General features: G+C 39.2%; 2 annotated features.

Annotated features, from left to right (window-relative positions):
• Positions 6324-6373: a silencer, noted in NCBI's record as "silent region_3865". NCBI's record gives its function as "represses an Ori minimal core promoter by ATAC-STARR-seq in GM12878 lymphoblastoid cells {active_cell/tissue: GM12878}" and the evidence as "EXISTENCE:reporter gene assay evidence [ECO:0000049][PMID:35858748]".
• Positions 6494-6543: a silencer, noted in NCBI's record as "silent region_3866". NCBI's record gives its function as "represses an Ori minimal core promoter by ATAC-STARR-seq in GM12878 lymphoblastoid cells {active_cell/tissue: GM12878}" and the evidence as "EXISTENCE:reporter gene assay evidence [ECO:0000049][PMID:35858748]".

Below are 13146 nucleotides of genomic sequence, written 5' to 3' on the forward strand. Positions count from 1 at the left end.
CTGAGTTCTCTCAGGCTCTCTCCCCCAAAAATCAAATCAGTCATTTACACTTCAGTGCGAACAGGAGTTGTTCGCCTGTTGAGTAGATATCTTGCTAGAAAAAACAAACAAGCCAACAAAGTTTTAAAAATGAAGGTATTGTTCATTATAACATGAGTTTCAGGGCAAGTTAAGAAGAAGAAAGAAATTTAGTTTGCCCAGAAAACTCACAAGGCAATGTAGGCTCTTTCTGCCTCTCTATTACTAGCCTCCCTCCTGCCCCTTCGGCAGCAGCCTATTCTCATAAGGATAAGGATATTCTTATAAGGATAAGGATATAGATGTGGGTTCTACAGCAACATAGCAGGTGTATTTTTATAGTTCAGTTTTGCTTTCTAGGCCCGAGGAGATGACACAGATTGCATAGATATAGTCTATTTGTTTTTTAGTTATAAAATAAAGGATGAGTTGAACCAGCTGGGGTGAGCACATGTGCCTGAATCTTGAATGATGAGTAGGAGTTGCCAATGGGGAATGTGATCCAGTAGAAGGAACAGCGTCCGCTAAGCACAGAATTATACCCAGTGAAGCCGTGGCTCATTTGATTCACATAAGCCAAGGCAAAATGTCCTCAGCTTCATGCCTTTCTGAACTCTCATGATCAGAATGGATGTCCATATACCCTGATCAAGTTAACAGAACAATTGTTAGGGCCAGTTGTGGTGAAAGGTAAAGAGCATTTGGGTGGAAATTAAACTTACTGGGTTCAAATTACAGTCCTGCCACTTCCCACTTATGCAACTTTTGGCAAATCTAAGTTCTTCTGAGGTTCAATTTCCACACCTGTGAAACTAGTGCATTAACATCTCCCTCATAGGGCATCAAGGGTATTAGATGAGATCATACATGGAAAAAGTCTGTGTAAACCCTTCACTGTGCTGTTCTCTTTGTATTATGAATGTGGTGAAATTATAGCCACATTAGTTCATGCGTCCGTTCTGTGAATGAGTTAGAAATGCTGAAAATTTCTTCTTTTCCAGAAAGAGAAGTGCTTCTAAGTTAAGCCACCAAGTGAAGTAACTTCCATGGAGCTTCCTTTAGTAGCCAGTGTTCAAGTTCAGCCAGGGAACATATGTGTGTGACTCACATCCTTTGCACAGAGTATAAATGTATACACTCAGATCTCACAAGTCATTATGGATTAATCACTGTGCTAAGTCTTAGATATGCAGCATCTATTACCTTCCTTAAGCTTCATAACAACCCAGAGAAGTGGGAGTTATTATCCCCATTTTAAAGAAGAAAACAGATTCAGAGATATGATTCAAATTTACCTTTTCATTGACTCTTCCTAAAATCTCCTTTGTTCTCTCAATGAGGAAAAAATTTTTAAAAGTGATTATTCTCAGTCTTGGCACTACATCAGAATCTATATTAAACATACAAGTAGGCTTCTTTTATGAACTAAATGTTGTGTCCCCCAACCCCAAATTTACATGTTGAAATCCTAACTCCCAGTGTGACGGTATTAGGAGGTGGGGCCTTAAGGAGGTGAGGCCTCATGAGTGGGATTAGTGCCCTTATAAAAGAGACCCCAGAGAACTCTCTTTCTGTCTTTCCACCAAGTGAGGATCCAATGAAAAGTTGGCAGTCTGCAGCCCAGAAGAGGGCCCTCACCAGAACCTAACCATGTTAGCAGGCTGATCTGACTTCCGTCCTCCAGAACTGTGAGAAATAATGTATTTCTGTTGTTTATAAGCCACTCAGTCTATGATATCTTATTTGGCAGCCAGAATGGACTGAGCTCCACTCCAGCTACTGAATCAGAATCTCTGGGGTGGGGCCCAGGTATACACAAGTTTAGAAAGCATCCCAGGTAACAATGAGGATGAGTTGAGAATCTCTATTGTAAGAGAGGATGGAGAATATACAATAAGAGAAGTAAAGAGTCATGTTTTAAGATTTTAAAAAAGGAAAAATCATATTCTATTGGGGAGATCCACAAAGTCTTTGTAGGGGAAGTGGACACTGAGATAAACTTTGAAAGGTGGATTGAATTTTGGCATTGAAATTAAGTTAAATGAGGGTGGGATTAGAAGCAAAAAGCAAAGGTATTGTGGTAAGAAATCTTGGATTGTAAGTGAAGAATAACAAGGGTCTGGGGGAATCAGCATAGAGCATATAAAGAGAAGCAGCTTGGAATGGTAGGCTAGAACCAGATAGTGGAGGGGCAGGAATTAAACATCAAAAGGCCAGCAATGAGCAGACATTGTTTGTTTCTGAGCCATGTAACAATCTATGCTGACTTAATAAAACTAACCGGGCCATAGTATCTAGGATAGACTGGACTGAAGAGAGGTTATAAATAAGAAGAACAATTAAAAGGTGGAGTAAGAGTTTAAGTGAAAGGTCGTGAGGACCTGGCCCTAGCGGGTGGTCATGGGTCTTACTCTTGGTGTGGGGATGGATGGTGAAGAAATGAGGTTGAAGAAGACAGGAGGGAACCTGGGTCATCACACCACACATCTCCAAGGAGCAGCAATTCGCATCACAGATACACACAGATAAAATAAAAGTTGCCTTAAGGCCGGGTGCGGTGGCTCACGTCTGCAATCCCAGCACTTTGGGAGGCTGAGGCAGGCAGATCACCGGAGGCTGGGAGTTCGAGACCAGCCTGACCAACATGGAGGAACCTCGTCTCTACTGAAAATACAAAATAAGCTGGGCATGGTGGCACGTGCATGTAATCCCAGTTACTTGGGAGGCTGAGTCAGGAGAATTGCTGGAACCCGGGAGGCAGAGGTTGTGGTGAGCCGAGATCGTGCCATTGCACTCCAGCCTGGGCGACAAGAGCGAAACTCTGTCTCAAAAAAAAAAAAAACAAAAAAAACAAAAACAGAGTTGTCTTGAGAGTCAAAGAGTTCTCTTGAGGATGACAGATGGAATCAAGGCTAAGGCTGGAGCTGAAGGAAGTGGAGACTTAGAGAAGCCGTGGTAGTGAATTCAACCCACAGATGAGGCTGATTAAAAGGCCTGCTGAGCAGCCGCCATGGTCCAGGCAAGTGAGAGAGTAGCTAGAGTGAGCATGGAGGATCTTATCCTTATGGTTTTGATTAGCCCCAAACATTTCCATTTCTGCCCCTGTATCTATTGTCCTCCCAACTAGAGGGTGTTGAGGATAAGAAAGAATGGAGAAAATGACCCATTGAGAGTCAACGACTGTCCAGAAACTAGTTTGACAGACCCACGAGAACAGATGGCAGAAAAGTAAACATTTCCATTCCAGGCCGCTCTGTGTATGTAGAGGCAGGAAACTGCGAAGTGGATTTTGCCAAAACTCTCTTTTCTACTAAATCAATCCAGCTGTGTGGCTGGAATGCCTCATTTTTCATTTTTCCTGAGGCACTGTCTTTTCTAAATCTTCTCCATTCTTGATTTTCTAACAATGTCTAGCTATAGCAAGGTATTACTTCCCACTTTAAGTAAATGCCCTCGTTTTCTCTCATTTTTACCACCAAAATATTCAATTTCTTAGTGTGTCCATGGGACTCTTTCTGTATCTCCACACCAGAACTATTCTCCTTACACATTCCCCCGCTATTTCCTTTCCCTCACTGGCTGCTTCCTGTTTGCCTACATGGTTTCTCTAGTAAAACAAAATAAAACCAAACAACAGACTTCTTTCTACCCTATTAATCACTTGAGTTACCATCCTGTTTCCTTTCCCTCACTGTCAAACTTCTTGGAAGCCCAGTCAGTGCCTCTACTCCTTCAAACCACACACCCGCTCCTCCTCACACCACACACCTACTACTCACACCACACACCTGCTCTTCCTCACACTACACACCCAATCCTCACACCACACACCTGCTCTTCCTCACACTACACACCCAATCCTCACACCACACACCTGCTCCTCTTCACACCACACACCCACTCCTCACACCACTCACTCCTCACACCACACACCCGCTCCTCCTCACACCACACATCCACTCCTCACACCACACAACCGCTCCTCACACCACAAACCCGCTCCTTCTCACACCACACACCGGCTCTTTCTCACACCACACACCTGCTTCTCCTCACACCACACACCCACTCCTCACACCACACACCTGCTCCTCCTCACACCACACACCCACTCCTCACACCACACACCCGCTCCTCACACCACGCACCCACTCCTCACACCGCACACCTGCTCCTCTTCACACCACGCACCCACTCCTCACACCACACACCTGCTCCTCCTCACACCACACACCCACTCCTCACACCACACACCTGCTCCTCCTCACACCACACACCCAATCCTCACACCACACACCTGCTCCTCCTCACATCACACACCTGCTCCTCACACCACACATCTGGCTCCCATCCCCCTTGGAGCCCAACCAGCTGTCACCCACATACGCCTGTTGGAGTCTGTGAGAATTCATCTCAATAAACTGTCTCACATCTATATAGTCCCCACTAGATTCTGTTCTCACTCCTCTTGATCAATGGTTCTCAACCTGAATTTATTTTTTAACCTAAAATATCAGAAAGACACCACATATGCCCTTTGGTGACATTGGCTTGTCAGGGGCAGTGGATTAGTTTTCCGCAGCTGCTGTAACATATAACCACACGTCCAATGGCTCAAAACAAGATAAATTCATTGCCTTACGATTCTGCAGGTCAGAAGTCTGGTATGGGTCTCACTGGGCTAAAATCAATATGTTAGCAGTGCTGTGTTCCTTCTGGGAGCTATAGAGGAGAATCAGTTTCTGTGTTGTTTCCAGCTTCTAGAGGCTATTGCATCCCTTGGCCTGTATTTCCACCTCTGCCATCTTCAAAACCAGCAATATCACTTCTCTCTAACCCTTATTCCATCTTCTTGTCTCTCCCTGATCACAGTTGGGGGAGGGTCTCCACTTGTGAGGACTCAGGTGATTTGATTGGACCCACTGAGATAATGCTAATCTCCCATTTCAAGGTCCTTAACCCAAATCACACCTGTGAAACCTCTTTTGCCATGTAAGCTAACATGTTCACGGGTCAGGATGTGGGCATTTTTGGGACCATTGATCTTTCTGTTACAGGCAATAATTCTCAATGAGAAGAGATGGAGGTAGTCAGTAAATGTGTAGACTGACTGCACAGGGAAGGGCACTTCAGGATCTGTGGTCTGCATGTGATTTGAAAAGCCCTTTAGGAGACCATGCCCTATAACTCCAGGATAACCTGCACCCACCCTGTTCTCCATTTTGACTTTCCATGCCAAGAATATGTGAGTATTTACTGAATACTCATTAGAAGTGAGGTACTGTCATAAAGGCTTTTGCAAAGTCACTTTTATGTAAATTTCTTAGGTATTACGTCTTTTAAAAGCAATACAGAAACTGAGGATCAGAAAGGTTAAGTGAATTACCTGAGATCACACACTGGCAGATGTGTAATGTGTGGCAGAATTTGGGAATCCAAGTTTGGTTTAATTCCAAGGCTCTTTCTGTTCAGTCTCCACAAAGTCTTCTACTGGAGTTGACCTTCTGCCTGAGTAGCTTCTTTAGTTTAAATGTCACATTAAGGTCATTATGGGAACTTTCTGACTCTTTCTTCCTCCAAATTCTACAGATGTGGTTGCCTCATACATCAGGACCAAACATCAGAGGAACCTGAAGTGACAAGCCCGAGGTACTCACAGACAGCCTGTTTCTCTTTAGCATGGGGAATGGAAATCCGAAGACCTGGGTTTGACTCCACTCTATCATTTGCTTGACCTTGCACAAGTTCCTTCATCTCTCTGTCTTAATTGCACATCCCTAATTGGCCACTTATTACTGTGGGACCCTAGACACAGTTCACTTCACATCCCTAAGTTTTAATTCCTTGCGTGTAAAATGGTGGTAACAATAGCCCTGACATCATAGGAATGTTGTGAAGATTAAATATGGATGTGTAGAAAATGTTTAACACAGAGTGCAAAATAACAGATAAAAATTACAGTTCTCTGGCAATTAAATATAAAAAAAAGCCTCACAGGATAGGAGCACTTTCTATATTGCTATATTGTTTTACGTTCTTATTTCAAAGCCGTGGGCTTTAAGGAGGTAATGCACGAAAAGCAATATAGAAAGTGTTGTTCAAACGATTTATTTTATTTTAAAAATCACTTATTTTTAAATAGTCTAGTAATACAAAAATACATGCTTATTAAAAAAAAAATTCCAAACTTTCAGAAGTACGGTAAGTAAATGTGAAGTTTTCTAACCCCCTTTCCCCCTACTTCAGTCCCCTCTTCTAGAGGTAACCAATGTTAACATTTTGAAATGTCTCCATCCAGATATTTTTCTATGGCTTAATGCTCCCAGAGTAAGCTGGTGTATAGCAGACGCAACCAGTGGCCTTCAATGAAGTCACGGATGGCTGAGACCTGTCACTCTTAGCCATGCTAGTGGTCATCATGCCCCCTGTAAAACCAGCAGAGGGCGCCAAAGTCCACTGGGGTATTCGGAGGGTGAACTGTTCGGTCAGATCAACAGTCTTCTTCGAAATAAGAATGTAAAACAAATAGATCCCATTTATCTCATTTAGTAAGGATGAGCCCAGGTTTTGAACTAGGTAGGTTAGTGGGAGAACTGGACATTAAAGACTTGGCCAAAGCTCATTAAAATGAATAGTTTGCTTTAGGTGAGAATGCAGAATGAGAAACTCCACAGTGGTCACAATGTTCCTAAGCACATTATTTTGTCCTCTGTTAACAGATCTTAATGCCAGGTTGTGGGTGGCAGTTTTAGCTTACTTGATAAGGGCTATCACATTCTAAGTGTCAGTTCACCAACAATGGCCATCCAGGCGGTGGCTAGCTTCCCGCTCTCACAAATAGTTCTGTATTGGCTGCCCTACAAGTCTCCTGGGGATCACAGTCAGAATGAATACTTACAAGTGGGACTACTGGGGTTAGAATACAGGTATTCTTATGATACAGCCAGATTTTGCTTCACAATGGTTGCACCAATTAACAGTTCTGCCCGCTGTAAATAAGGGTTCATATTCCCCATGTTTTTATCAGCACTTAATATAACCAGAACTTCTAATTTCTGCCATTTTTGGTAGGTATAAGTAGGTATCTTTTTTACATTGGTATTCCGTTGATTACTAGTAAGATTGGATATCTCTTTATATGCTGTCAGCTACCCAGATTTCCCCTTCTAATAATAGCCAACTTATTTCCATGCCTGCATTTCTACTGGATTTCTTACCTTTTTCATGTTGATTTAAAAGAATTTCTTCTCTGAACCACCTATTAATCTTTCCTTAGTTTCATATGTTGCAGACACTTTCTCTGTTTCTCATTTAATATAATTCTTTAATTTCAATGTAATCAAAACTATCAGCTTTGCCCGTTATGAGTTATGCTTTTTTGGTGTTATTTGAGATATTCTTCCCCACATTATGATGGTCAAAATATTCTCCTATGTATTTTGTTGAATTAGTTCTACCTTTCATATTGAAGTCTTTAACCAATTCAAAGTATACTTTTGTGCATGGTCTGCATCAGAAAGAATAAGCAAAATTACACTTTGGTAATAGGCCCTGCATCCTTTAGTCTTATAAGACAGCTCAGATTTATTTCTTGCTTGTGCTATGTGTCAATTATGGTTTGACAGAGGACCTCTGTGTATGGCAGTGACCCAGTTTCACAGACCTCCAGAGAAGCTGTGATCTTGAATTCTCTCTGTCATGTTGGTTGAAAAAAGATTTCTAAAGGGTTTTGCACAAGCAATGAAATGTTCCAGCCCAGAACCAAGCACAAGTCATAGTCCAGAACTAGTCATGTGGTCCCATCCCACTGCAAGGAGGCTAAGGAGTATAATTCTTCCATGTGCCCAGTAGCTGGAACTCCACAGTGAAGAGTATCTGTTACTTGCACTTGCTGGGATACAGAATTCATCTTTATTTTTTCCATGTAGTGCCTCCAAACAACTATTTGAGGATTCATTCTTTTTTTTCTTCTAATTTGTAGTACCACCCCTATCATACCAAAAGCATGTTTCTGGACTTGTATTTAGTTCCATTAGCTTATGTCTCTGCTCCTGCGTAAGTTTTGCACCACTGGGGTCACAGAGGTTTTGTAAAATGTCTTAATATTTGGTGGGACTCTCTCCTTCTTTGTTCTTTGTCAAAATTCTTAGCTCCTAGTGTGTATTTTTTTTTTTATAAATAAAAGCCTTGCAATCAATTTTCCTTTCCCAAATACTGCCATTGGAATTTAGTTAAAATTGCTTCCCATTTACAAATTAATTTTGGAAAAATTGTCATCTTTAGAGTATTAGGTCATTCCATACATGAAGATCATATTCTATTTTTCTTATATGTCTGTAATAGAGTCTTAAATTCTCATTTTTAAGGGGTTGTTCTGTTTTTGCTATGTTATTTCCTAAAGAGGTAATTGATTTTGCTGTGGCTATTAATATTTTGTTTTCTATGTTTGATCTACTTGTTTATTGTGCATATATAGACATGTAAATGATTTTGATGTGTTGATGTACTTGGAAACATTACAATTTTTCTCATCTTAAGAGTTTTGATTCTTTTGAGGTTTTCTATGTAAATTATCAAATTATCTACAAATAATTATAATTTGGACTCTTCCCTTTTGATCTTTATAACTGTTGATATTTTCCTCATTTTAATTTTTTTTTTTTTTTTTGTAGTAATGAGGTCTTACTGATGTTGCCCAGGCTGGTCTTGTAATCCTGGGCTCAAGCAATCCTCCTGCCTCAGTCTCCCAAAGGGCTGGGATTACAGGCATGATTCACTGTTCATGGCCTCATTTCAGTTTTTGACAGGATATCCAGGACTATATTAAACGAATATCAGTGATAGCAGGCATCCTTCTCTTATTCCCAGTATTAATAAGAAAGTACCTAAAGTTGCTCCCTATGTGCTATATGGTGATGGTGGAATATGTCCTCTGTTTTCTCTGAAAGAGTTTGTGTAAGATTGGAATGATCTATTCCTTGACATGGATCTTTTGGCAAAACAAACCAATAAAACCATCTAAGCTTAATGTTTTCTTTGTGGGAAGATATTTAAACCATTAAACATTATTTTATAGTTATAGAATAATTAAGACTTCCTTTTGCTGTTAATTTCTTTTTTCTTTATATATTTTTGAGATACTATTGACATATAGTGAAGTACACAAGTCTTAACTACACTGTTCGGTGAGTTTTGACAAATGTATAAGCCAATGTATCCCATACCTCATGAAGGAAGAGAACATTTCCATCATCTGAGTTCTCTGAGTTCTTTCTTGGTCAAACACAGTCCCTCCTCAGTGTCAATCACTGTTCTGATTTCATTTCCTATATATTACTTTTTATAATCTTAAAGTTCATATAATGGAATCAAAAGTATATATTAGCTTCTGTGCCTGGCTTCTTTTGCCTAGAATGATGTCTCTTAGGATAAGAGAGACATTTTAATGGTTTTCAGTTTAATCCATGTTGTTGTATATAGTACTAGTGGTAATATTCTATTGTATGAATATGCCACTATTTTCAGATTTGGACTATCAAGAATAAAGCTGTTATGAATTCTTGAGCAAGCTTTTTTGGGGTATTTATGTTTTCATTTATCTTGGGCAAATATGTAGAAGTCATAGGGTGAATAAATATTGAACTGTGAGCAATTTGATATTGTATGAGCCTTCCAGATGTTCTAGCTCCTCATCAATGTTTGGTGTTGTCAGTCTTATTAACATTAATGATTTTAGTGGATTTTTTTTAGTGGTGCCTTATAAGAATTTTATTTTCTCGATAACTAATAATGTTAAGTACTTTTTAAATGTGTTTATTGGCCATATATATGTCTTTGTGAAGAGTCTGATTAAAACTCCCATGCATTTTTAATTGCATGTGTCACTTTATTATTAATATGTTAGATTTCTTATATATTCTGAATAAAACTCCTGCAGGGTTCCCCAGTTCCCCTCACTTTTTTTTTCTGTGTCCTGACCAAAAATCAGAGTGCCTTGACCACCCTGTGTCCTTGCCAGCTGTAAGGTTTTCCCAGCAGTCTTGAAACCAAACCAGGAACTTGAAAATTCCCTGGTAGTGATAAAGATATCTAGGTTTACTAGAAAGAAACTGGCCCTGGCCCTGAACCAAATCTTTAAATCCTCATATAGACATATTACCCCCTAGATGAAGACATATCTATGTAGGACACCCCTCTACCGTGATTGTTCTTTGAGAGGATACACCAAAGAACTCTGTAAGTAAATACCCCTAATAAATGTGTTGTCCTTCTCACCCTGGCATTTAGTGCTTCCTTCTTTGGAATCTCAGCTGGCCCCATCTGGAGACAGTCTTGGGCACTTCCTTGCAGGAATTCCCTTGCTGCCACTTTTGGGGCGACTCCAGTCATGAGTTCAGCAGGATGAAACAAGTCCTTTGACAGATATGGTTATTACAAATGCATACTTCCCCTGAGATCTTATATTTCCATGGGACTATCAGTCTCCCTGAAATCTCAAGGCAGAGTGCTTATTGGCAAAGTCTAAACACAACCACTCTGATTTCTCATATTCATTGGTGGATTTTCTCCCCAGGAACCCATCAGAAACTTGGTCTTAGGCTCTGAGCATTTCTGGGGGCTGCTGCAATGTCTGTAATATTCTAGCCTCTGCACTAATGAAGACGAAGCCAAGAAATTTTTCAGGAGCTGGTCAAACTGACTATATACCTTTTTATTAACTTTCCATCTTTTCTGGAATCCAGCATCAATTCTGTGTTAATTTATTTAAAAACTTTTATTAAGTACTTACTTGGATTTTGCATTATATTAGTAAAATAAACAGACAAAACAATAATACATAGCAAATCCCCCACCCCTCTCCCTGCCACACATCCTGATGGAGCTTCCACTGTAGCAGGGGAAGACAGGCAATAAATAGTAAAATGACAGGCCCACAGCTAGTACCATACTGAATGGGGCAAAACTGAAAGCCTTTTCTCTTAGATCTGGAACATGACAAGGATACCCACTTTCACCACTGTTATTCAACATGGTACCAGAAGTCTTAGCTAGAGCAATCATACAAGAAAAAGATATAGAGTATCTAAGTTGCAAAGGAAGAAGTTGAATTATTCTTGTTTGCAGATGATTTAATCTTATATTTGGAAAAATCTAAAGACTCCACCAAAAAACTATTAGATCTGATAAATTCAGTAAAGTTGCAGGATGCAAAATCAACATACATAATTCAGTACCATTTCTGTGGGACGACAGTGAACAAACTGAAAAAGAAATGAAAAAGCAGTCCTATGTACAGTAGTCACAAAACTAAATCCTAGGAATTACTGAAAGATCTCTGTAATGAAAACCATAAAACACTGATGAAAGAAATTGAAGAGGACACCAAGAAATGGAAAAATATTCCATGTTCATTGATTGGAATAGTCAATATTGTTAAAATGTCCGTACTACCTAAAGCAATCTACAGATTCAATACAGTCCCTATGAACACAACAATGACATTCTTCACAGAAATAGAAAAAAAAATCCTAGAATTTATTTGGAACCACACACACAAAACCCAGAATAGCCAAAGCTATCCTAAGCAAAAAGAGCAAAACTGGAGGAATCACATTACCTGACTTCAAATTATACTACAGAACTATAGTAACCAAAACAGCATGATACTGGCATAAAAACAGACACATAGACGAATGGAATAAAATAGCCCAGAAATACAAATAAATCCACACAGCTACAATGAACCATTTTCAACAAATATGCTAAGAACATACATGGGGGAAGAGATAGTCTCTTCAATAAATGTTGTTGAAAAAACTGAATATCCATATGCAGAGGAATGAAACTAGACCCCTATCTTTCCCCAGTGTATGTTCTTGGCACCTTTGTCAAAAGCAAGTTTACTGTAGATTCATGGATTTACTTCTGGATTCTTTATTTTGTTCCATTAGTCTATGTGTCTGTTTTTATGCCAGTACCATGCTGTTTTGTTTACCATAGTGTGTAGTATAATTTGAAGTCAGGTAATGTGATTCTTCCATTTTTGTTCTTTTTGCTCAGGATAGCTTTGGCTACTCTGGGTATTTTATGGCTTTGTATAAATTTAATATTGCTTTTTCTATTTCTGTGAAGAATGTCATTGGCATTTTGACAGGAATTACGTTAAATCTGTAGATTGCTTTGGGTAGCAAGGATATTTTAATGATGTGGATTCTTCCAATCCATGAACATGAAATATCTTTCCATTATTTGGTGTCCTTCTCAATTTCTTGCATAAATGTTTCATGGTTTTCATTGTAGAGATTTTTCACTTATTCGATTAAGTTTATTTCTAGATATTTTATTTTATTTGTAGCTATTGTAAATGGGATTGCTTTCTTGATTTCTTTTTTAGATTGTTTGCAGTTCACATATAGAAATGCTGTCGATATTTGTATGTTGATTTTTTATCCTGCAACTTTGCTGCATTTGTTTATCAGTTCTAATAAGTTTTTTGGTGGCGTTTTTAGGTTTTTCCAAATATAAAATTTTATATTCTGCAAACAAGGATAATTTTACTTTTTCCTTTCAAATTTGGATGCCTTTTATATCCTTCTCTTGTCTTGTTGCTCTAGCTTCCTTCTTAATTTCTTCATTGACTCACTGGTCATTCAGGAGGATATTGTTTAATTTCCATGTGTTTGTATAGTTTCTAAGGACTTCCAGTACTATGTTGAATAACAATGGTGAAAGTGGTCATCCTTGTTTTTTTCCAGATCTTAGAGGAAAGGCTTCCAGTTTTCCCCATTCAGTAATGTCACCCAGTAGCTGTATGTCATATAGGACTTTTATTGGGTTCAGGTATGTTCCTTCTGTACCCAGTTGTTTGAGAATTGTTAACATGAAGTGATGTTGAATTTTATCAATGCTTTTTCAGCGTTAATTAAAAAAATTATATGATTTTTATCCTTCATTCTGTTGATATGATGTATCACAGTGATTAATTTGTGTATGCTGACCCATTCTTGCATACCTAAGATAAATCCCATTTGGTCATGATGAATTATCTTTTCACTGTGTTGTTGAACCCAGTTTGCTAGAATTTTGTTGAGGATTTTTGTGTCAATGTTTATCAAGAATATTGGCCTG

This window comes from Homo sapiens, chromosome 11 (genome assembly GCF_000001405.40).
Source record: "Homo sapiens chromosome 11, GRCh38.p14 Primary Assembly".
In the NCBI taxonomy this organism is placed as follows: domain Eukaryota; kingdom Metazoa; phylum Chordata; class Mammalia; order Primates; family Hominidae; genus Homo; species Homo sapiens.